The sequence below is a fragment of the Homo sapiens genome, chromosome 6 (genome assembly GCF_000001405.40).
Source record: "Homo sapiens chromosome 6, GRCh38.p14 Primary Assembly".
Taxonomy (NCBI): Eukaryota; Metazoa; Chordata; class Mammalia; order Primates; family Hominidae; genus Homo; species Homo sapiens.
In genome coordinates this window covers 111,524,974-111,547,331 of record NC_000006.12, presented here as the reverse complement: position 1 = coordinate 111,547,331, position 22,358 = coordinate 111,524,974, and the positions used below count along the sequence as shown (strand labels likewise).

The 22,358-nt window shown below is 40.4% G+C and overlaps 1 long non-coding RNA gene and 1 other non-coding gene across 4 annotated transcripts in view, besides 1 other annotated feature; one reads left to right on the top strand and one right to left on the bottom strand.

Annotated features, from left to right (window-relative positions):
* TRAF3IP2-AS1 (TRAF3IP2 antisense RNA 1) overlaps window positions 1-22,358 on the bottom strand; it is a 118,824-nt gene that overhangs the window by 54,964 nt on the left and 41,502 nt on the right. The gene's annotated exons all lie outside the window — the stretch shown is intronic.
* Window positions 6,831-7,005: a silencer, noted in NCBI's record as "fragment chr6:111861530-111861704 (GRCh37/hg19 assembly coordinates)". NCBI's record gives its function as "represses an EF-1alpha promoter that drives an FKBP-Casp9 reporter gene in an ReSE screen in HepG2 liver carcinoma cells {active_cell/tissue: HepG2}" and the evidence as "EXISTENCE:reporter gene assay evidence [ECO:0000049][PMID:32094911]".
* On the top strand, window positions 12,407-21,407 carry LOC107986522 (uncharacterized). The gene is made up of 2 exons (XR_001743809.2): window positions 12,407-18,629; window positions 21,096-21,407. It is a non-coding gene; the product is annotated as an uncharacterized LOC107986522 (long non-coding RNA).

Sequence of the window (22,358 nt, the reverse complement as noted above, 5' to 3'; positions counted from 1 at the left end):
GCCTCCCAAGTAGCTGGGATTACAGGCACCTGCTACCATACCCAGCTAATTTTTGTATTTTTAGTAGAGACAGGGTTTCACCATGTTGGCCAGGCTGGTCTTGAACTCCTGACCTCAGATGATCTGCCTGCCTAAGCCTCCCAAAGTGCTGGGATTACAGGCATGAGCCACTGCGTCTCGCCTGATCAATAATTTTAAAAGAACTTTTAACAAAAGTTCTTCATGGAGAGTATTTGTAAGTTGGTGTGTCACATAAACACAGAATCAAACCCAATATACTGCTTATAATCCAAATAAAGTGACTGCTTTGCCTGGCTTCTTTTGAGTTCAGCCTATGCTACATGAGCCCTGTAATATTTCAATTTTCTCACTATGTTTCTCTGTTTGAACTACAGTAAAACTTTATTTGCGCTGAGTACCATGATTCACTTGGCCTTCACTTTACATGAATGCATCATTTGTGTACTAAATCAGCCCTGTTCTTTTCTCATTAGTGTATGACAGATTAGCATGTTTATTTTTATGATGGAAAATCAAAATCAATTTATTAAATAAATTAAGAGACTAAACTCAATTGCATCTTATCACTGAAAAAGAACAGTTTTAACTTTAAAACAGGTAAGGTAACTCAATGATTCTCTTTAAACAGAAAGCAAGATGGTTATTGCTATTTTGATGCCAGGACATGCCAACATAATGACTACTGGACACATTAAAAGTTGAATATTCCCACAAAAGTGATCACATGGTGCCAATCCAATTTTAAACACAAAGCACCAATTCTAAAAATATGCAGTTTTTAAATGAACATCTCAGGTGAGCCAGATAAGTTTATACATTTTTATATAAGTTTTTAAAACATTGTTGAAATGAAAACACGATGATGTTGCTTACAATGAAAACACAATGATGTTGCTTATAGCCACAGACTCCTCCAGTTTGAGGAAAAACTGGTATTACATACATAGATAGTAGATAGTACTTTTTGTTTGTCTGTTTTTGAGACAGGGTCTCACTCTGTTGCCCAGGCTGAGTACAGTGGCGTGATCACGGCTCACTGCAGCCTCAACTTCTTGGACTCAAAGGATCCTCCCATTGGAGCCTTCCGAGTAGCTGGGACAATAGACCTGCACCACCACACCCTGCTAATTTTTTATTATTTTTGTAGAGACTGGGTGTATTAGTCTGTTCTTGCATTGCTAGAAAGAACTACCTGAGACTGGGTAATTTGTAAAGAAAAGAGGTTTAATTGACTCACAGTTCCACAGGCTGTACAGGAAGCATGGCTTGGGAGGCCTCGGAAAACTTACAATCATGGCAGAAGGCAAAGAGGAAGCAAGCATGTCTTACCTTGCTGGAGAAGGAGGAAAAGAGTGAAGGGTGAGGTGCTGTACACTTTTAAATAACCAGATCTCATGAGAACTCACTATCATGAGAACAGCAAGGGGGAAATCTGCCCCCATGATCCAATCACTTCCCATCAGACCCCTCCTCCAACATTGGGGATTACAATTCAATATGAGATTTCGTGGGGACACAAATACAAACCATATCACTGGGTCTCACTATGTTGCTCAGGCTGGTCTCTAACTCCCGGACGTAAGGGATCCTCCTGCCTTATTATCCCAAAGTGTTGGGATTACAGGCGTGAGCCACCACACCCAGCCATAATTTTTTTGTATTTTTTTTTTTTGTAGAAACAGGACCTTGCTCTGTTGTCCAGGCTGGTCTTGAACTGAGCCTCAAGCAACCCTCCTGCCTCAGCCTTCCAAAGTGCTGAGATTACAGGCATGAGCCACTGTGCCCAAGAAGGATGAAAGGGGTGTCCCTGAAGAGGGTCAGCTTGGCTCAGAGTGCCAGAACCAAAGAGGACTGAGAGGATGGCTCAGTGCAGAGTACTGGGGCCAGGTGGGTTAAAGGTGGGAGTGCAGGCCAGCATGGGGTTTCAGGGTCCACATGGGGTGAGGAGAGTGGTTCTTGCAAAGGAATAACCAAGTGTGGGTTGAAGAGGGGTGGCTTGATGTGGAACGTTAGAGCCCAGGTAGGGCGAGGTGGGTGTCTGTATAGGAAAATGGCACAGCACAGGCTGCTATAGCCAAAGCAGATGTTCCATCTAAGGATACAATAAGAACCCACGGCATCAATTTTGTGGTAGTCTTGATAAGGACATATAACTTAATCATGAGAATACATCAGAGAAAAGCAAATGGAGGGATAGTCTACAAAATGACTGACCCATATTCTTGAAGTGTTAAGGATATGAAAGTAAAGGAAAGACTGAGGAACTGTTTCAGACTAAAGGCGACTAAGGAAAGATGACAAATAATTGCAATGTGTGGTTCTGAACTGGAATCCTTTGCTATAAATTATACATTATTGAGCAATGGAGAAACTTGACTGGGGTATGAAGATTAGATCGCAATGTATCAATGTTAATTTTCCAATTTTGCTGTTTGTACTGCAGTTATGTAGGGGAATGTCTCTGTTGAAGAAATACTAAGATATTTGGGGATGATGGGGAAATCAAATTGACATCTTCCTTTCAAATGGTTCAGGGGAAAAGAAGGTCTTTGTACTTTACTTGCAACTTTTCTGAAAAATTGAGATTGTCTCAAAATGTACTTTTTTTAAAGTTTAATAAGAAGGGAGTATCATTACGAGAACTGTAGTATAGTCACATGAATAAACTTTATGCAGACATTAAAAATGTTTTTGGAAAATATTAATGATGGAATGTTTTTTTTTTAAAGAGGATAAAAGTTTATGTATAAAGTATGATTAACTTATGTAGAAATATCTTGCAAAATAGTAAGAGTCCCCATATTGAGTACTTATTATGGCTCAGATACTGGACTAAGCAATTTGTATATTTTATCTCATTTAAACTTCACAACAATCTTACAAGGCAGGCATTATTAGTTTCATTCTACAGATAAGGAATTTGAGGCTCAGAGAGGCTAAGTAGCTTGTCCAGATTCTTAACTAGCCTGTTGTACTGCTAAGAACAAAGACTGGAAAAAAATGCCCAAAATGTTAATAGCAGTAGTTTCTGGGCAGTGGGACTATAAATGACTTTTAGATTCCCCTTTTGTAGTTTTCAGTAGTTTCCAAAATATCCACAATGGCATGTTGCTTTTGTAATTTGGGAAAAGAGAAAGTTGTTATTTTTAAAGTAAATCATTTGTTGTGGAACAAAGTTGTACAAATATTCCAATTATTCAAAACCATATTGAGCAACCCAAACTACTAACAGCAATGTTATCTCTTATAGTGATACTAGTGGTTATTTCCATTTAAAATTTTTTCCTTCTATGTAATTAAGTTCCTATAATTCATTCATTCATTCAATCAATAGTGAGCATCTGCTGTTTTTTTAATAAGAAAAAAAATTTTAAAGAAAAAATGTGTAAGTCCAGAGTTATAAATTTTATTCAAAAAAGCAGGGAGGAAGGATATTATGCTTAGAAAAAGTCTAGACACTAAAATGTTACTAGCTGCTATGTGTCAGTGGTGAGTTAGTAGAAATTTTATCTTTTCTTTATACTTTTCCATGCTTTTCCAGTCTTTGGCAATAATATGTATTACATATATATTCTATTCATAGCTGTGACTCCATTGGCTAGAAGATGTGTATCTGGCACATCGTAGGAACTCAAGAATGTTTGTTGAGTAGATGAATGCTTTTGAGTACAAACAGCCTCAAAACACAGTTTTTAAAAACAGCATTGACCTTTATTCATTCCTTTATGATAGTTGGCAAACTTTACATTCAACCTATGATCTGCTATGCTAGAAAAGATATAAGAGAAGGTCTAAGTGTGGTAGGGAGTTCTAGTTACTATTTACTGGATAATGGTGATGGGGAAAGCCATGTTACAGGAAGGCAGGGTAAGCAGAAAGAGGGACATACTATTCAGACAAACACCGCAGTATTGTTTTATTGTACGTATTAAGATTTCTATTCAACCTCTTTCCAGGAGAACTGGAGGTGACACATCACTATATGATATGCTACTGAGGACAGATCTCATGCTGGAGGAGCTGGGTTTCCTGGTAGCGATATCTGAGGTTCACAGAGAAATAGAAGGATGGAGTGAAGTTGGGATGACCCAGGCATAAGCTCCTATTTTGCTTATAATTATGAGGCTAATTTCTCTGGTTTTATAAATTAACTTGAATCATAAACCCTAAGAGAGACTAGATATGAGGCCAGTATGGGGATAGAAGTCCCTTAGCTGGTGCATGAATCAAGCCAACTGCCCAGAATCCACATCTGCACTTGGCTATTCAACTCCACTTATTTACAGGGGAGTTTACATGCTATAGCGATACTGCCAAATTTGAAGATTCCCCAAGACCACATGAGGTAGTCCTTACATATATTCAAGGATTACTAGAAAAAGTAAACCTTTGAAGTCATTGCTGAATCCTCCCTTTCTCTTACATCCTACCATCTAATACATTGGCAAATACTCTTGCTCTACCTTCAAACTATATCCAGAATCTGACCACTACTTTCCTCTTACCTGACTTGGGTTATTGAAAAGCCTCTTACCTACCCCTTGTTTCACCCCTTCACCCTCGAGTATGCTTCCCACTCAGCAGCCACAGGATCCTTTTAAAAACTAACTCATATCATGTCTTTACACAAAAACCTACAATGGCCATAGCCCTTACAATAAAGCTGTACCTTGTGTTCCACAACACTCTGACCTCATTTTCTATAGCCTTCCCCTTGCTCACTTCTGCTCACCGCACTCTAGGCACTTTGACTTCCTTGCTGTTCCTCAAATATGCCAGGTACACTTTGCTCTTGCAGTTTCCTTTACAGGAAGTTGCCCCCACCTCCATCCAAATGGCTCTCTCTCTCTCCCTTGGAATCTCTCTTCAAATATCACCTTATTAGAGAGAACTTTCCAGACCATCTACGTCAAATAGAAACCTCCTACGCAGACACTGTCTCCTTTACCTTGATTTTTTCTTCATAGAAATCATCATCATCGGGGACAGTTCTGTCCACCAAATGTGTCTGATTTTCTTGAGCATATGATATGATTGCACTACCTCACCTTTTGGAGTTGGGTGTAGTTGTGTGACTTGTTTTGGCCAGTGAAATGTTATAGAAGTGCCATGTGTCACTTTCAGGCATAAGCTTTAAGAAGTGGCATATAATTTATCACTCTATCTTCTCCATCTCCCACAAAGACAAGCCATACACTCTAGATGGGGGTTCTCTAGGCAGGTTGGGTCCCAGAGGGAAGGTGCTCTCAGAGCAGAGCCCCCAGCTGACCTGCAATGAACATGCAGTGTAAGTAAGAAATAAACTTGGTTGTTTTAAGCCACTGAGATATTGGGTTATTGCCACAAAATAACCTAGCCTATCCTGACTGACACACTTTCTGACATATTGCCTATTTGTTGACCATCTCCCCTTATCCACCTCTAGATTGTAATCTCTATGATGGTAGGATTCTGTATGTTCACGGTATGTCTCCAGTGCCTGGAACAGTGCCTGGCACGTGGTAGGCATCCAATAATATTTGTTGGTTAAGTGAATGAAATAGGAAGATTTAACAGTGGCAGGTGAATCTAATTTTGGGCTTAGCTAAAAAACGTTTATTCCACCTGATCTGAATGTGAACAAAATGGTTCCTGATTCAAGATCAGAAGTGTGGCCGCTTATCTCACCAGACACAGTTTGAAAGCATGAATCGCCTATGGGTACATAACACAGCTAGTCATGAAAGCACATAAAGTAGCTAAAGTTACAACACAAATGGAAATCTGGCATACTGCTGAGGGGACTCAGTGACAATCCATAAATAAAAAGCATTAACAATGTTTGTGTCAATGCCGAATGCTGATGTGGTTTCCTTTCCCTGTGTGGACATTAGCATTTGAAATGAACTGAGCTTCAGAGGCCTGGGATTTTATCTGTCGTTATCATAAATTGGTGTATGAGTCCCTCTAAGGACTTTTGCAAAAGCATTGTGTGCTTTTGTGAGCTGCTTTCTTTTCACGTGCTTCCTCCTGGTATGCCAGAATTTGGATGGGGATAATGCATTTCCTGTATCATGTGGCACAGTACAAGGAAACCCATTGTATCCCTACAGAGGAAGAGTACATCTGTAAGTAGTTTTTAAGAGTGTACTGAAGGATCTTGTTAGGGTGACTTATTCTCCCAGTTCCATTTGGTTGATGAAGTGGATCACGTGACAGATGTGCATAATGAACTGCTTCACTTGCTGCCAGTGGGAAGCTCAACCTATAAAATGCAAAATCTCATGGAATCGTTGAGGGCATAGCAAGCTGATCACATTAAGAGAGAAGCCGGCCTCATTTGGAGTTGTCATTTCTTACTGCCGCATACAATGCACCAGTGTTACCAGACTGCGTTTACTTCCCTTCACCCAAACCACCCTTACTCCCGTGCCCCCAAAGTAACTGCCTTTCCAATTTGTTCCTAATTCAAACTGGAAAGGCAGTTATTTCTGCATACATTTCCTAAAGAGCAAACATTTTGAAGATGTGCAAGTCATCATCCATTAAATGCACTTGCAAGGAGTCTTTATGTTTTGTCATTAGAAAAAGGAAACATTACATCAGAGAACTGGATTGCTGGCTTTTTTATTCTTTCTCATCTCTTTTCCTGTCACCCTCTTCTATATTTCTTTTCTTTCTCTGTTCCATTAGCTTTTATATATATATATATGTATACATTTTTTTTTGCCTTTATACTAATTGGTGATTCTCTAATGACTGCAATACTGCAATCGTAAAGTACATAATTTGTCTCCTGTTTTCTGTGTGTGGTACAGAACAGTGATGTTCAAGCCAAAAAACACAAGTTGACCAACCTATTCCAGGAGTGGTCCAACTTGCAACTCACTGTGGATGCTCCTGGGTCACTAAGGAACAGATAATGACTGGAAAAATAAAAAGAAATAATGCAGACCCTAGTCCTAGATATGATAATTCAGGTAATGATGAAAAAGGCTATAAGCCAATTCAATCCACTTCTACCATGGAGCTTCCATATGTACTGGGCACTATGCTAGGCACTGCAGGGGGAGCTGAAAAGGCAGCGCATATGGCCTTTGACTTGAAAAGTTAGGGAATAAATGATGGCATATGATGACATACCCAAATGCCATAACAGCTTCACAGATCACAGGGCTTTAGGTGTCCCAGAGGAAAGATGTCAGTAAGAACTTAAATTGTCAGGAAAGGTTTTGGGCAGGAGGAGAAACTGAGCTAGACCCTGAGGGAAAGGTCGGTTTTAGATGCTGTCAAAAGAGTAAAATACTCTATTAAAGAGGTCAGTTGTGCATGACATCTCGATTGAATTCAGCTCTTTGGGGAACTCACTTCATAGCCCCAGTTTCCCAACTAACCACACAGTTCAGCCACATAGGTAACCTAAGGAATGTTTTTAAAAATATTCATCAGATGTTAGTATAAGGCAATTAATCACAACATAAAGTACCAAGGCATCACAGCTGAACACCTTAAATTGATGATGAAGACAGCAGAATGATTTTTCTTGTATACCAATGAGTGTCATGGATTAAATGTTGCTAAATTTAAGGAAAATAGAAAATATAATCTGGGAAATCAGAGCTTAATCTTCTAACAGCAACAAGAAAGTTTATGAGACTTCCTTTGGAGACTTTAAAGTATGTTAGATTTGGCTTTAGTGAGTTTAGAGAATTTTCCTTTGCAGACAGAAAGCTGGCTTTAGAGCACTATAGAAAGTTCAGTGGCACTTCGGCTACCTCCTTCTGACTCTGATGCTGGCCAGCAGTCTCTGGTGAAAAATCCCTGGATCTTTTCTGCAGAGGAATGGCAAGGCCTGGCAGCAACTGTTGGGCTCACACAGACAGGAGTGACTTGTTCTTAGGGTCAGCAGGGGTAGAGGTGAGAGGCAGCTCAAGGCCAAGTATTTGACTTTCTGATCCTTCTAGGAAAGTATAGCGTTCTCTAATTTATTCCTAATTGGAATATTTTACTGTGGTTTTCCTGGCCACAAGATGTGCCCTTTTAAACATTTCCTCTCAAAAGACCTTTGTTAGATTTGATCCAGTTTTTTCAATATCAAAATAGCTGCCACCTAAAACTTATTATCAAAAATGTCTCGTAGTCCTGTCACATACCTCAATAACATGGCTTCTGAGGTTTTGAGCCTGGGGCTATTAGTCCTTGTGGTTGTGATGGGTGGAAAGAAAAAAATTAAAAGAGTTTATGAAAAATAGGAACACTTTTGGATCATCTAATATTTTTTTGAGACAGTCTCACTCTGTTGCCGGACGGGAGCGCAGTGGCGTGATCTCAGCTCACTGCAACCTCTGCCTCCCGGGTTCAAGCGATTCTCCTGCCTCAGCCTCCCGAGTAGCTGGGACTACAGGCACGCGCCATCATGCCTGGCTAATTTTTTTTTTTTTTGAGATGGAGTTTTGCTGTTGTTGCCCAGTCTGGAGTGCAATGGCATGATCTCGGCTCACCGCAACCTCCGCCTCCCAGGTTCAAGCGATTCTCCTGCCTCAGCCTCCCGAGTAGCTGGGATTACAGGCATATGTCACCACACCTGGCTAATTTTGTATTTTTAGTAGAGATGGGTTTCTCCATGTTGGTCAGGCTGGTCTCAAACTCCTGACCCCAGGTGATCTGCCCACCTCGGCCTCCCAAAGTGCTGGGATTACAGGCGTGAGCCACAGCGCCTGACTGGATCATCTTATTTTGAATGCTGTGAATACTTGAATGTGGGTGCACAAGCACATGGTTTGCACGTGCACACACATGTTCTCACATATCACCTATTTTACTGAAAAATATTATGATAGAAAATTTTATTATTTTAGTTTAAGTCCTGGTTTTAGTCCTTCAATGATGAGCACCTAAAAAGCATATGTTTGCAACTAGCTGAAAGTACAGCTAAGTGGTCTGCCTGAAATCTAAAATTAGACTGAGTTGATGATTCTACTAGGAGATGTTTTTCCCTTAGTGTTTTTATTCCCAAACATTGCTACCTTCACTTCCTGCAGGGGCTGAAGTCAAGGTAGACACTAGTCAAAAGTTAAGAACTCTTGAGGGACTCCCTCTGAAAAATCGGCATGCAAAAAGCAGCTGGTCCAGAAGTCAAAGACTCTTGGCTACAGCAATAGAATGTTAAAATCACAGGATAGTAAGAGAAATCTGGTTTCCAATCATTTAAAATGTCTATTGTTTCAACCTTAGCATTAGGAAAATCCAAAGAAATGAGTTAAAAATTTTGCTTTTACAGCCTTTATATAAACAAGAGATTTTTGCTGGTATTCCTAGAAAGATGGTGAAAACTAGGTGCTGAAATTTAGATGCCCTCTGAAAATGACTGGAAATAATTGTATCTGTTAAACTGGGCAGCCCTGATATTGTATGCTATATCAATCAACTTTCATTATTCTTTAATGACTTTTTGCAATTATTTTTTCTAAAACTTTGCAAGCTTGACTTGTGTTCACCTTGCTGTGGAATGCTTTAAAGGGCATTTCGTCTAATAGCAGAGGGAAATGATAAATTATAAATGCCAAATCATATAGTAGTGATTTAGATAGCACAAGGGCAAAGTCGTAAGCAATAAAATAAAAAATTTCCCAATCAACCTCTGCATTAGGAGCAAAAAAGAAATAGCTGTCTGCATAATGAAAGAGAGACACATCAACAGGCTTGTTAATGTGCTAATGTGAGGGCTTTTTAAAAAACTTGAAATCATAAAGCCAAATACTTGAAATTGTTATCAGTTTAAGTAAAGAAGTTTTGTATTTATGAATGAGTATGAATTAATTTTATTCTAAGTGTCCTCTGGAAATACAGAAAGAAAAAAAACACCTCAGTCTCAATCTCTTAAGCAGTTGGGGGGTCAGGACAATGAATGAGATGAGTAAGTCTGCCTGGGTCTAAATTCTACCTAAGTCCTTCTGAGCCATGTGATCTTAGGCAAGTTACTTAACCTCTTTGGATTCCTGTTTCCTCAGTGTAAAATGGGGAATATTGTGGTTCCTATCTCATACGATTATTGTGAGGATTACAAATAAAGCGCTGAAAATAGAATCTAACAGAGTAAGCACTCAATAAAAATGGGTTATATAATATCTTACAGTTTCTCTCCCCCAAACTCTCTGGTGGTTTCTCTTCTTCCTCTGAGTAAACACCTTAGTCCTTATCAGGTCCTTTAGGGCCTCACACAAGCAGCCTTGTTTTCTCTGTCCTGATCTCTGACCACTTCCCCTGTTTCCCTCAGCTCTGGCACTCTGGCCTCCTTTCTGGGTGTTCCTCTGACACACTAGGCAATATGTGCAATAGCCCCTGCATCCAACCACCAGACAATGTTAGGGCAGGAAGAAATCAGCCGGTCCAACTTCCTAAAGTTATAAATAGGGAGATGAAAGCCTAAGAGGGATACAAGACTTGTCCATGGTCACAAAACTGGGACCAGGACCCTGGTTTTCTTGGTTCCTTAGTTCTTCATAATACCACACTATGTCTCTTATCTTTGTCCAGAGTATGTGGATTAAGAAAAAAGCCATCTGGTAAAAGTTGTGAAGGCAACACAGGGGCCTGTAAAGACTGCAGGTGGGCCAGGTACAGTGACTCACACCTGTAATCCCAGCACTTTGGGAGGCTGAGGCAGGTGAATCACTTGAGCTCAGGAGTTCAAGGTCAGCCTGGGCAACATGGCAAAACCCTGTCTCTACAAGAAATACAAAAATTGGCCGGGCATGGTGGCATGCACCTGTGATCCCAGCTACTTGAGAGGCTTGAGCCTGGGAGGTCGAGGCTGCAGTGAGCTGAGGTCGCACCACTGCACTCCAGCCTGGGCTAGAGTGAGACCCTCTCTCTGAAAAAAAGACTGAAGGTTGGCAAAGGATAGCAATGGAAATAAATAGCAATCACTTTAACGAGGTTGTTAGTAGCAGATACAGAAAAAATGTCAAAGGCACAAAAGATTATCATAATGGACTTGGTAGGGCTCACAACTGATTTGGGGAGATGAATTTTAAGTCAAAGCTGAAGTGAGAACAAGTATTCATATGCAATATGAATTGAAGGAATTACGGATGATAACAATAGGTGCTATAATTGAACACTTACTATGCCATAGGTACTGTATTGTACTTTCCATGACTTAATCTTCTAACAGCCCTACACTAAACTCTTTTTTATTTTTTATTTTTTGAGATGGAGTCTCGCTCTGTTGCCCAGGCTGGAGGGCAGTGGCATGATCTCAGCTCACTGCAACCTCTGCCTCCCGGGTTCAGGCAATCCTCTGCCTCAGCCTCCCGAGCAGCTGGGACTACAGGTGCCCGCTACCACGCCCAGCTAAATTTTTGGTTTTTTTTTTTTTAGTAGAGATGGGGTTTCACCATGTTAGCCAGGATGGTCTCGATCTCCTGACCTCGTGATCCCCCCGCCTCAGCTTCCCAAAGATCTGGGATTACAGGCGTGTGCCACCGTGCCCAGCCCCTAAACTCTTATTATCCAATTTTACAGATGAAAATATTGAAGCTCAGACAGGTTCAACCTGGAGTCTGAGCCCAGTTAGACTCCAGAGCCAAAGTTTTAATCACTATGTCACTGGTCCTCAACATTAGAATCTTTATGAGAATGTTCACAAAATATTCATGCTTGGGTCCCACTTGCAGAGATTCTGAATTAATTAGTCTAAAGTGGAATCCAGGGAGGGATACTCTGTAGAAGCATCCAGGTGATTCCACTGCAACTAGTTTGAGAACCAGTTCCATGCACAATAGTCTCCATGCTTAAGTATACTATCTAAGTCGTCAGCTGCTAGTAGGTAGTGAAGCTGGGTTCCAAATTCAAATCTGTATGGGTTCAAAGTCTAGTGCAGTTATCACCATCACCTTGACCACTACTTCCACCATTTCCACTCCAATACCACTTTACATTTGAAGAAGATTTACATCTTACACAGCATGCTCAAAGACAGAAAAATAAAGATTCTTCAGCCAGTGAATCTTATGAAAAGTGCTGCTTTCAAGAAATATTTCCGGCCAGGCATGGTGGCTCACGCCTGTAATCCCAGCACTTTGGGAGGATGAGGTGGGGGGATCATGAGGTCAGGAGATCGAGACCATCCTGGCTGACACGGTGAAACCCAGTCTCTACTAAAAATACAAAAAATTAGCCGGGCGTGGTGGCAGGAGCCTGTAGTCCCAGCTACTCGGGAGGCTGAGGCAAGATAATCGCTTGAACCTGGTGGGCGGAAGTTGCAGTGAGCCGAAATCACGCCACCGCACTCCAGCCTGGGCAACGGAGGGAGACTCCGTCTCAAAAAAAAAAAAAAAAAAAAAAAAAAAACTATATATATATATATTATGGTTCGTACCTATTAAAATACAGAAGAAAAAGAAAAAAATTTATAACTTCTTAAATAATCTAATGTCTTTTTTTTTTTTAAGGGTTTGGCTTCTGAAAGGTATTCCAAGTACACCGGCAAAATATCTACTTTCTCTATGAGTTTATAAATTGAAGTGGTTCTTCAGGACAAACAAAAACCCTTTTCATCTAAAATTTTAATTGAGACCAATTTCAGTGCCCTGGGAATTAGTTCCAAAGTTTGGCTCAAGTTTTCTGGCACTGAGCACAGGGCTCTGGCCTCAGGACTGCACTGGGTCACCTTACAGCTGCACCTCAGGGCTACTTGCCAAGAAGCTGGTCTCATGGCAACACTTCCCTATGGCTTAACACCAGAACATTGAGCTTGGATACCCAACCTGGCTGAAAGCAATTCACATGAACTGCAACTCTATCTAGCAAGCAACTTGCAGGAGTCATCTCGTGTAGCACTGTAACACCCTCTGACATTTCTGGGAGAAAAATAAGACTAATGTTCATTGGTTTGTCTAGGAGTGGAGATGGGTGTTTCTCAAGGTTTAATTTATAAATAGAGAGTTGTACGTTGCTATAACCACCACATAAATGGAGAAACGTGTCACTTAAAGTTTGTAACCAAGTTTTTAGCAGCTTTTTCAAAAATGGGGAAGTACAGTCCAGCTATCCTGGTTCAGGAACCAGAAAGATCAGGGTTGGAAATGTTATTTTCCCACTAACCAGGTGGAAGAGTTTGGGCAGTTAACTTAGTCTTACTGTGCCTCAGTTTACTCATACATAAAATACAATTTGGGCTCATTAAATGAATTCTAAATCTCAGTCTTAACATTTTACTATATGTATGAATATATATTTATAGTTTTCCTATTTTGGTACAATCACTTGAAACCCATTCTCTTACTAGAGAAATCTAAATTTCCAAAAATCTCAGGTTGTCATTAAATATAGCACCTAAGAACAAAGCACCATAGAGTTTAGCTGTAAGAGGTACTTAGATAATTTAGTCCAACTTCCTAATTTTATCATCTCTCTTCCTTTTCACTTTCCTTTCTTCCTTTTTTCAACAAATTTTTTTCTGAGTTCTGGTATATGCGAAGCACTGAGTTAAGTGCTAGGGACTGAGTCCTCAGTGTTAAAGAACTTCCAGTACAGTAGAGACAGACAAGTAAATAGGTGATTAAAATACAATGAAGTAAGTGAATAGAGGTGAGCATTGGGTGCATCGGAAGACAGAGGCCAGTCTTGGAGTGAGGGGTAGGAGTTAGGAAAGGGTTCCTGGAGAAATGACATCTTAGCTGTGGGCGGGGGGGGGGAGGGGGGGTGTTGTTTACTAGGCAGAAAAGCAGCATGTGCCTTTGCATAACAGAGAGGAACCCGGGAGCAGTGAGGAGGATTGCCCAAGGGTATGCATCTGGCCAGTGGCAGAGCTGCCAGTAAAATGGAGCTCAAGGCCATAACTAGAAAATTACAGGCTCAGTTGAATGTCAATGACACAAATTGAAAGTTCTTGGTTTTGTTTTTTGGTGCAGGTAAAACATCATGGTCCCTGCCTTTGCTGCCACCAACTTAATTCAAATCTGCGGCTCTTGCCTGGGCTCTAGGATTAGGATTTCCTCTCTGGCTCTAGTGTCTTCAGCAGTAACTCATCAACACAACACAACCACATCACAGGCTTTTCATCTGAGAAGTACCACCACCAATCTACTCTAGAGATGAGGATCTTTCAGTTGCTGAGTGGCAAGGATGAATAAACATCCTGGCTCTGATAGGCTTAGGAGACAAGTCTTTGTTAGTGATGGCTCAGTTATAGAACAGTTATGACATGATGATTGTCTTCACATATCTGAAGGATTGTAGGAGGGATGTTTATTCTGTATAGGGTGGAGGGGAAGAATGAGAACCAAATGGATATATAGATTACACCATTACAGGTAAATATATTTTCCCTAAATAAGAACTTGAGGGCCAGGTGTGGTGGCTCACACCTATAATCCCATATATACCTATATATACTTCTGAGTATATATACTCGGAAGGCTGAAGTTGGGGGATCACTTGAGCCCAGGAGTTTGAGACCAGCCTGGGCAACATGGTGAAGCCCTGTCTCTACAAAAAATACAAAAATTAACCAGTGTTGTGGCTTGTGCCTCTAGTCCTGGCTACTAGGGAGGCTGAAGTGGGAGGATCACTTGAGTCCAGGAGTTCGAGGCTGCAGTGAGCCATCATCGCACCACTGCACTCCAGCCTGGGTAACAGATGGAGACCCTGCTTCAATTAAAAAAAAAAAACCCAAGAACTTGAAGGTGACTGTGTTGGTAAGCACTGAGTATCCCTACACCAAAAGTATAACAAGTGCAGAATGACCACTTTACTGGGATGTTGCAAAGACAATTCATGCCTTTAATAAGATTTAGATTGTAGAGGCCCTGATCAAATCCTTCCAGCTCAGAGCTTCTGTGAGTTTATATTTTCACAGTTGCCCAGGCTGAGGTCTAATTGTTCTAGTTTTTTATCTATTCCTCACAAAGTATGTACTCTCCAATCTAATTAATTAGCATTTCAAGCACATTATTTTTATATTTATAACAAATACATGCTTATTGTATATTGTAATATTTAAGGAGACAAATTCTTTTTCTCAAAATACATTAACATTCACTGCTAGGTATTGAAACTGCTATACTTACGTGAGAAAATCGGCAGTTTGGCATGTACACATCTGTGTACACCACACCTGCATATTCAGTCTGATACACACAAACCACCTTATTTTAGGTATATTTCACCTGTGTATTTATATGCTATGGATGCTAGCATCTATACACTCACATGCCCAAAGTTAATTTAATACATTCCTTTCCTTTATTTCAACCTTTGTTTTTTATTGTGTAAACTGTGTGGCTGAAATATCTGTTCCATTTGTCTAAATATATGGAGGGAGTGAAAGGAAAGTATAGTCAGTGAAAATTGAAGATATTGCTGGCAGTTCTGGCAGGTGCAATTTGGATTGTGTAAACTCCAAATTATTTTTGGAGAGCAGTGGTAAAAGATGATTTATATTGTTTTGTAAGGCAGGCTACCCTGTTGCCCATATAGTACAATAAAACATACAATTTGTTTTTACTTGCTTTCCATGCATGGTGCATGTAATGTGTTATCAATCAAATATATTAAGTAATACTTTGTTTTAAATTAGAATTTGAATATTACCTAAAGCCTAAAATATGTATGTTTTAAAACAACATAATAGCTTTTTCAAAAAGAGAAAAAGAATGCAAGCCCATTTTCCAAGTGTACAAAATCAAACAACATTAAAAGGACCAGTCTAAAATGAGCTGGCTCTTCCCTAAGTGCCATGGAGCATAAATTCCTTTATCATATTGCACAAAGGAATGTATCCTGCACTACCTCCTATATTCTACCTTACAGAATAGCTTATGCTCAACTCTGCTTTTTTAAAGAAAGGGATTCCATAGCTGCTGGTTATAACAGTTTATTGTGCACTGAGAGAAATGTTGGGAGTGGCTTGGCCAGTCCATAAGCACTTTGTGGAAAGTTAGAGAACTGCCTCTGGGACAGTGGTTTACTACCCTATGTGCATAGGATGAATAAGTCATTTCTCTCAACGCAATCCTGTGGAGGGCTTCTCCTCAAAGACTCATAATCATCGGTCCTCTGCGTGTTCTATTGTACTGATAGGGTAGAGCGCATCACCAAAATCAACAGGCAGCACTTGTGGAGGCAGCAGCAAGCCGCTGTATATTAGCTGATAAACGCTTTTTTCTTTCTAGTTTTTTTAAATAAGATACAATGTTTTCACTAATGATCTTTTTACCATACAGAATGCTAAAAGTAAGAGGACACCAGGCAAAATCCCCTGAAATCACTGCAGGGACACTGCCAGACCCCAGGTGGGGCACTGAACAGAAGAGGGCAGCGGGCCATTTTGAAAGGAAGAAAAGGGCAACTGGGAGCGGAGGATGAGGACAGAGTCTGCGGAGCATAGGAGCAGATGACGCAGAAGATGCTACAGCTGCCTACCGCAGCTGCTCTCATAGTCGCCTGTACTTCAGAGTAGGGGCAAATGTGTTTAGAGATGAAAGGCAAGAGGGGGTAAGAAAAATGTACCTTCCATTTCTAACCAACTGTGATATAATCTTCACAAAGCTCATTCTGTTCTTATGAAGTGGTTATTTTCAGGATTCAAATATAGGCAAAATACGAACCGGCAAACCCTATGTGTTTCTTAGCTGCAAGCACAATTGGATACACCCAAATTACTGACAGCACATTGTAATTTCTAAGGCAACTTCTAAGGACAAACTTGTAGTTGGAACCTTGAACATTAGAAATGGTAGCAATTTAGTAATGTGATAGTTTATGGCCTTGCCCAACTGTTTGTGAACTCAAAAAGTGCTTTGTCACGTGTAACCTTAATGTTTACATGCTTTAGGCCATATAATGACTTTAAGTCATTATTTCTTGTTTTAGACTCAGTACACGTAAGGGTAGTTGATCTACCCACTCTGAGATCATTTCCTGGAACTCTGAACCCTACTGAACTCTGTACTATCCTAAGGATTGGCTGATTGACTTAAAATCCTACCCTGAGGAAATAAATACATGAGTGGGGAGGGAGAGAGGGAGGGTTGGGGCAGGCCAACTTTATTGACATCCCCATGTTTTCTTGAGGATCCACAGGGATCCTAAAGAGTAGTTTTCAACTCCTTGGCAGTAGAGGGCATTTAGATTAGACAAAGATGTTCTTCAAAAATGTCAGGAACTGAGAGAAGTCACAAAAGGAAAAAAAGAAAGTTAACAATAACTGCATAGTTACGGGGCTGTTTTATAGATTAAAAAATAAAACAGGCTCATACACATTTGGTAATTTGCCCGAAGTCACACAGACTTCAGATTAAGGTCTGTGAGACTCCAAAGCTGCTTTCTATTATCACAAAATGGCATGGGGATCTGAGAATTCTATAGGGTTCCTCCCTTTTAAGATTTATAAAATGCAGAGATCGCACATATCACTGGTTCAAAAAAGTTTAAGCCATTTCTTTCTTTTTTCTTTTTTTTTTTCTAAGACGGACTCTTGCTCTGTTGCCCAGGCTGGAGTGCAGTGCCATGATCTCAGCTCACTGCAATCTCCATCTCCTGAGTTCAAGCAATTCTCATGCCTCAGCCTCCCGAGTAGCTGGGGCTGCAGGTGTGCACCACCACACCCAGCTAATTTTTGTATTTTTTAGTAGAGATGGGGTTTTACCACATTGGTAAGGCTGGTCTCGAACTCTCAGCCTCAAGTGATCTGTCCGCTTTGGCCTCCCAAAGTGCTGGGATTACAGGCATGAGCCACCGCACCCAGCCAAGTTTAAGTCATTTCTTAGGCTATATGCCTTCACAGGGCAGTGGCACTCTCCTGGCAACTCTAGTCAGCCACTTAGAATCACTTAAAGCTTCTTCCAAGGCCTCTGGCCAGGGGTGAGTGAAGGCACAGGACTGCTTGATCTCCTAGCCTAATTAGGCATGACACAACTTTGAGTAGAGAATCAGGAAGGGCCAGTGGTCCATAGAGTATGTTGTGATCCGAGCAGACTTAACAAACACACTACTTAATCCAAAATGCTAAGTTTTGTTGAGATGTATTCTTACAAGCATGTTTAGAGAATTGAGATAATTTCACTGAGCAATTCAACTAATAGAATAATAATGCCAGACTTCAGCATGCAGCCATATTAATAATCTGACCCCACTCTATCTACTTATAAAGTATATCCCATTACTCCCCCAAACCTATCTTTTCCAGAGGTGAGGTCTCCTCATCGCTTCCACATACTTCCCTCGTTCCTGCCTTCATGCCCAGCTGATGTTGAATCCTGTCTAAGATGCCTCTTCTTTCCACCACAAACTATCCCATCTTTCAAGGTCCATCTCAAAACCCACCTTTTCTACATCATTTGTCTTGATAACTCCAGTCATAGTGGCCTCCAAAATCCTGACCAGCCATAACAATGTCTCCACTCAACATTTTCATATTTGATTATTTTTAACTTAGAACTTGACTATGAGCTCTGTTAATTCTCATTATCTCATCTTTGTAAATCCCCCCCAGTCACCAGGTTTCACGCATCTTGAAGGCAGAGGCTTTGTTGACACAAAGTGATTGGCAAAAAGGGAGCACCATAGCAGTGTTTCCTACCCCGAAATCTGTTTCTTTACTTTGGTTTTAAACCAGATAGAAGGTAAGGAATGCTGTCCTTTGACACTCAATTAAATTGGCTCAAATCCTGTTTCTTTGTGTAGAGGGAGCCCTATATTCCTTCCTCACTGTTTGGGGGTTCAGGGAGGGAATATGGATGGTTTACAATTTCTTTTCTAGTCACCGTTAGGTCCAAGTTCTTTGCTTTTGTATGCTTAGTTCGGAGACTGGAAGGGGCATATTGCTGTCCCTGAGCCCCATATCTCCCAGATGTGAAACTCAGCTCTTTTTTCTGCATCAGTAAAACGGGCTGAAGCTGGAGTGATATCAACTTTGACAAAAAGCCAAGAAGTAAGGCATGTGTGTACTAGGTCTTCAAATATTAAAACTTTATTGTGGGTACTATTTGCTTTTGAAATTTTAGAAGAATATTTTGTATTAATTAACCCTTTATTATATAGAGTAGCATGCCAGAAATTTACTTGGAATTTTCTTTCCTATTTTTTAAATGACTCTGACTTATTACTTGTGCTATAGTATTACATTGGTGCAAAAGTAATAGCGGTTTTTGCCATGATTTTCAATGGCAAAGAAGAATGAAGCTGCTTCTTTATTTCTCACATATGACAACCTAGTAACTGCTAATTAAACATATACAGAATTTTCAAGTTAATCATAATTTTACCTCAAATAGATATTACTGTGTCTTCTGTTTCTTTGCTCCAAACTGGATATTTCTTGTTTTTGTGATGGGCAGTATATATACTGCATAAAAGTTCAGATTCTGGAGTTAGACTGTAGAGCTTCAAATCCTATTTCACTTACTAGTAATGTGACCCTGGACAGACTACCTAGCCTCCCAGTAACAAATGAGGATAAGGATAGTACCTATCCTCATATGGGTTAAATACACATGTATAGAGTGTTTCGAACAGTGTCTCACACATGGTAAACACACAATGGAGGGTAGGTGCTCTTATTTTCATATGCTTTATGCTATATATGCATTGTTATGGGCTGAATATGTCCTCCCCAAATTCCCAAGTTGAAGCCCTAACCTGCAGTACTTCAGAACATGACTATATTTAGAGACAGGGCCTTTAAAGAGGTAATTAAGATAAAATGGAATTGTTATGGTGAGCTGTAATCCAATAGGACTGGTGTCTACATAGAAGAGGAGATGAAGACACAGATAACATGCACAGAAGGACAACCATATGAAGGCACAGCAAGAAGACAGCTGTCTTAGCCTGCTCAGGCTGCTATAACAAAATACCATAAACTGGATATCTTACAAAAAACACACAATTATTTCTCAAAGTTTGGAGGCCAGAAAGTCCAAGACCATGGTGCTGGCAGATTCAGTGTCTGCTAAGGACCCATTTCCTCACAGGCGGTGCCTTCTTGCCCTGTCTTCACATGGTGGAAAGCGTGAGTGGTCGCTTTGGGCCCATCTTATAAGGGAACAAATCTCACTCGTGAGGGCTTTGACTTCATGACATAATCACTCCCAAAGTCCCCATTTCCTTATGTCATTACCTTAAGGTTAGGATTTCAACATATGCATTTGTGGGGACATAAATACTCAGACCATAGCAGCAGTCATCTGCAAGTCAAGAAGAGAGACCACGGAAAAAAGCAAACCTGTCAACACCTTTAGCTTGGACTTCTTGCCTCCAGAATTATAAGAAAATAATTTTCTGCAGCTTAAGCCACCCAGTTTGTGGTACTTTGTTACGGCAGCTCTAGCAAATACATGCATCAAAATTAAATATGGACAGAAAAAAATAAATATGATGAGAAACTAGTGGTTTGTCATTACATTTTCTCTCTCTTTTTTTTTTTTTTTTTTTTGAGATGTAGTCTTGCTCTGTCGCCCAGGCTGGAGTGCAGTGGTGCAGTCTCGGCTCACTGCAACTCCGCCTCCCGGGTTCACGCCATTCTCCTGCCTCAGCCTCCCAAGTAGCTGGGACTACAGGCGCCCACCACCATGCCCGGCTAATTTTTTTTTGCATTTTTAGTAGAGACGGGGTTTCACCGTGTTAGTCAGGATGGTCTCGATCTCCTGACCCTGTGATCCATCCGCCTTGGCCTCCCAAAGTGCTGGAATTACAGGTGTGAACCACCGTGCCTGGCTGTCATTACATTTTCTAACAGCATTAAACTGGTAGGATATCTCTAAGAGATTTTAAATTTTGTGAAGCTAAAATCACAGTAGCTAAGAGCACTGTGCTGTACAGTAGTTTGGCTCTACTACTTCCTAGTTATGTAACTTCAGGCAAGTCAAGCCTGAAGACATATACAAAGGCTGTATAAGCTCCAGTGCTTCGTATGTGTGTTAGGACTAAATGAGATGTGGAGCCCAATGTCAGGCACATAATAAGCATTCAGTTAATAACATTCCATCTGTCTGTCTAGCTATCTATCTAAATGTCTTCTGAGAAGGGTAGGGACAGTGGAGTAACATTTTCTTAGCACCTAACATTTTCTTCTTTCTTTTTTAAACCAGATAAAGAAACTGAGGCCCATAGAAACAAAGCAATTTTGCTAAGGTTATACAGAGAGTATGGTGGAGCTGGATTCACAGGTGGGTTTGCCTGACTCCAAGACGCATTCTCTTTCCACTATACCACATTACCTTTCTCATTAATTTCCTAAAACCAATGGGTTCTAGTATGCTGTTCACAGTACACTCACGCAATACCTGCTTCCTAGTACATACATCTATTTTATAGGCGAGGGATGATAGAAGCCAGGGCATTAGAAAATTAAATATCTTTTTTTATTATTATTTTTTAAGACAGAGTCTCACTCTGTCGCCCAGGCTGGAGTGCAGTGGCACGATCTCGGCTCACTGGAAGCTCCGCCTCCCGGATTCACGCCATTCTCTTGCCCCAGCCTCCTGAGTAGCTGGGACTACAGGCGCCTGCCACCGCGCTCGGCTAATTTTTTGTATTTTTAGTAGAGACCGGGTTTCACTGTGGTCTCGATCTCCTGACCTCGTGATCCCACCCGCCTCGGCCTCCCACAGTGCTGGGATTACAGGCGTGAGCCACCGCGCCTGGCTAAATATCATTTTAAAAGAGTCTTCCAATACATGAAAGAAAAACAAAAAGAAAAAAAAATAAAGCTCAAACGTTACACAGAGGAAATTCTTGCTTTGGTAATTCTAAAGAAATTGTGACAATTATGGTTTAATGACCTCGTAAGAATGTGGCATAAGTGATTTATATTCACACTGCGGTGTCCTGATTTGAACTAACAGACTACAGTTTCTAAAGAATAACTTGTGCAGCTATTGGACCAACCTCAATGTCTAATGTTAGCACAAAACTTGCTCCAGAAGTACTTAATCCCAGTTAAAGAAGCAAAGTGTGTTCTTAATTGCTAAATAATAGCTCTCTATTTCATTTTGTAACTTTTCCACACCCCAAGTCGGCAATCACAGAACAGCTACCTATGGAGTTATTTTAAGATATCCGAACAAAGCATTTTTCCAACTAGTTTCTTTAACAAAACAAACAAATAAACAAAACATGAAGGTAACCATTTCTTGAATCATCTGATTTTTATTAAATTACCTCCCAGAAAATGTTTAATTCCTTCATGTGAGCTGTAAACTCACATATTTATTTCATTTTTGTTAAAAACAGAGTGGCTTAAAGAGGATGACACCATATGCAATACCAGTTTCTAAATGTCTCAATGAGGATGACCACATACACATTTCTACCACTTCAATTATTCCTAAGCAAGTCTTTTCTAAGTAGAG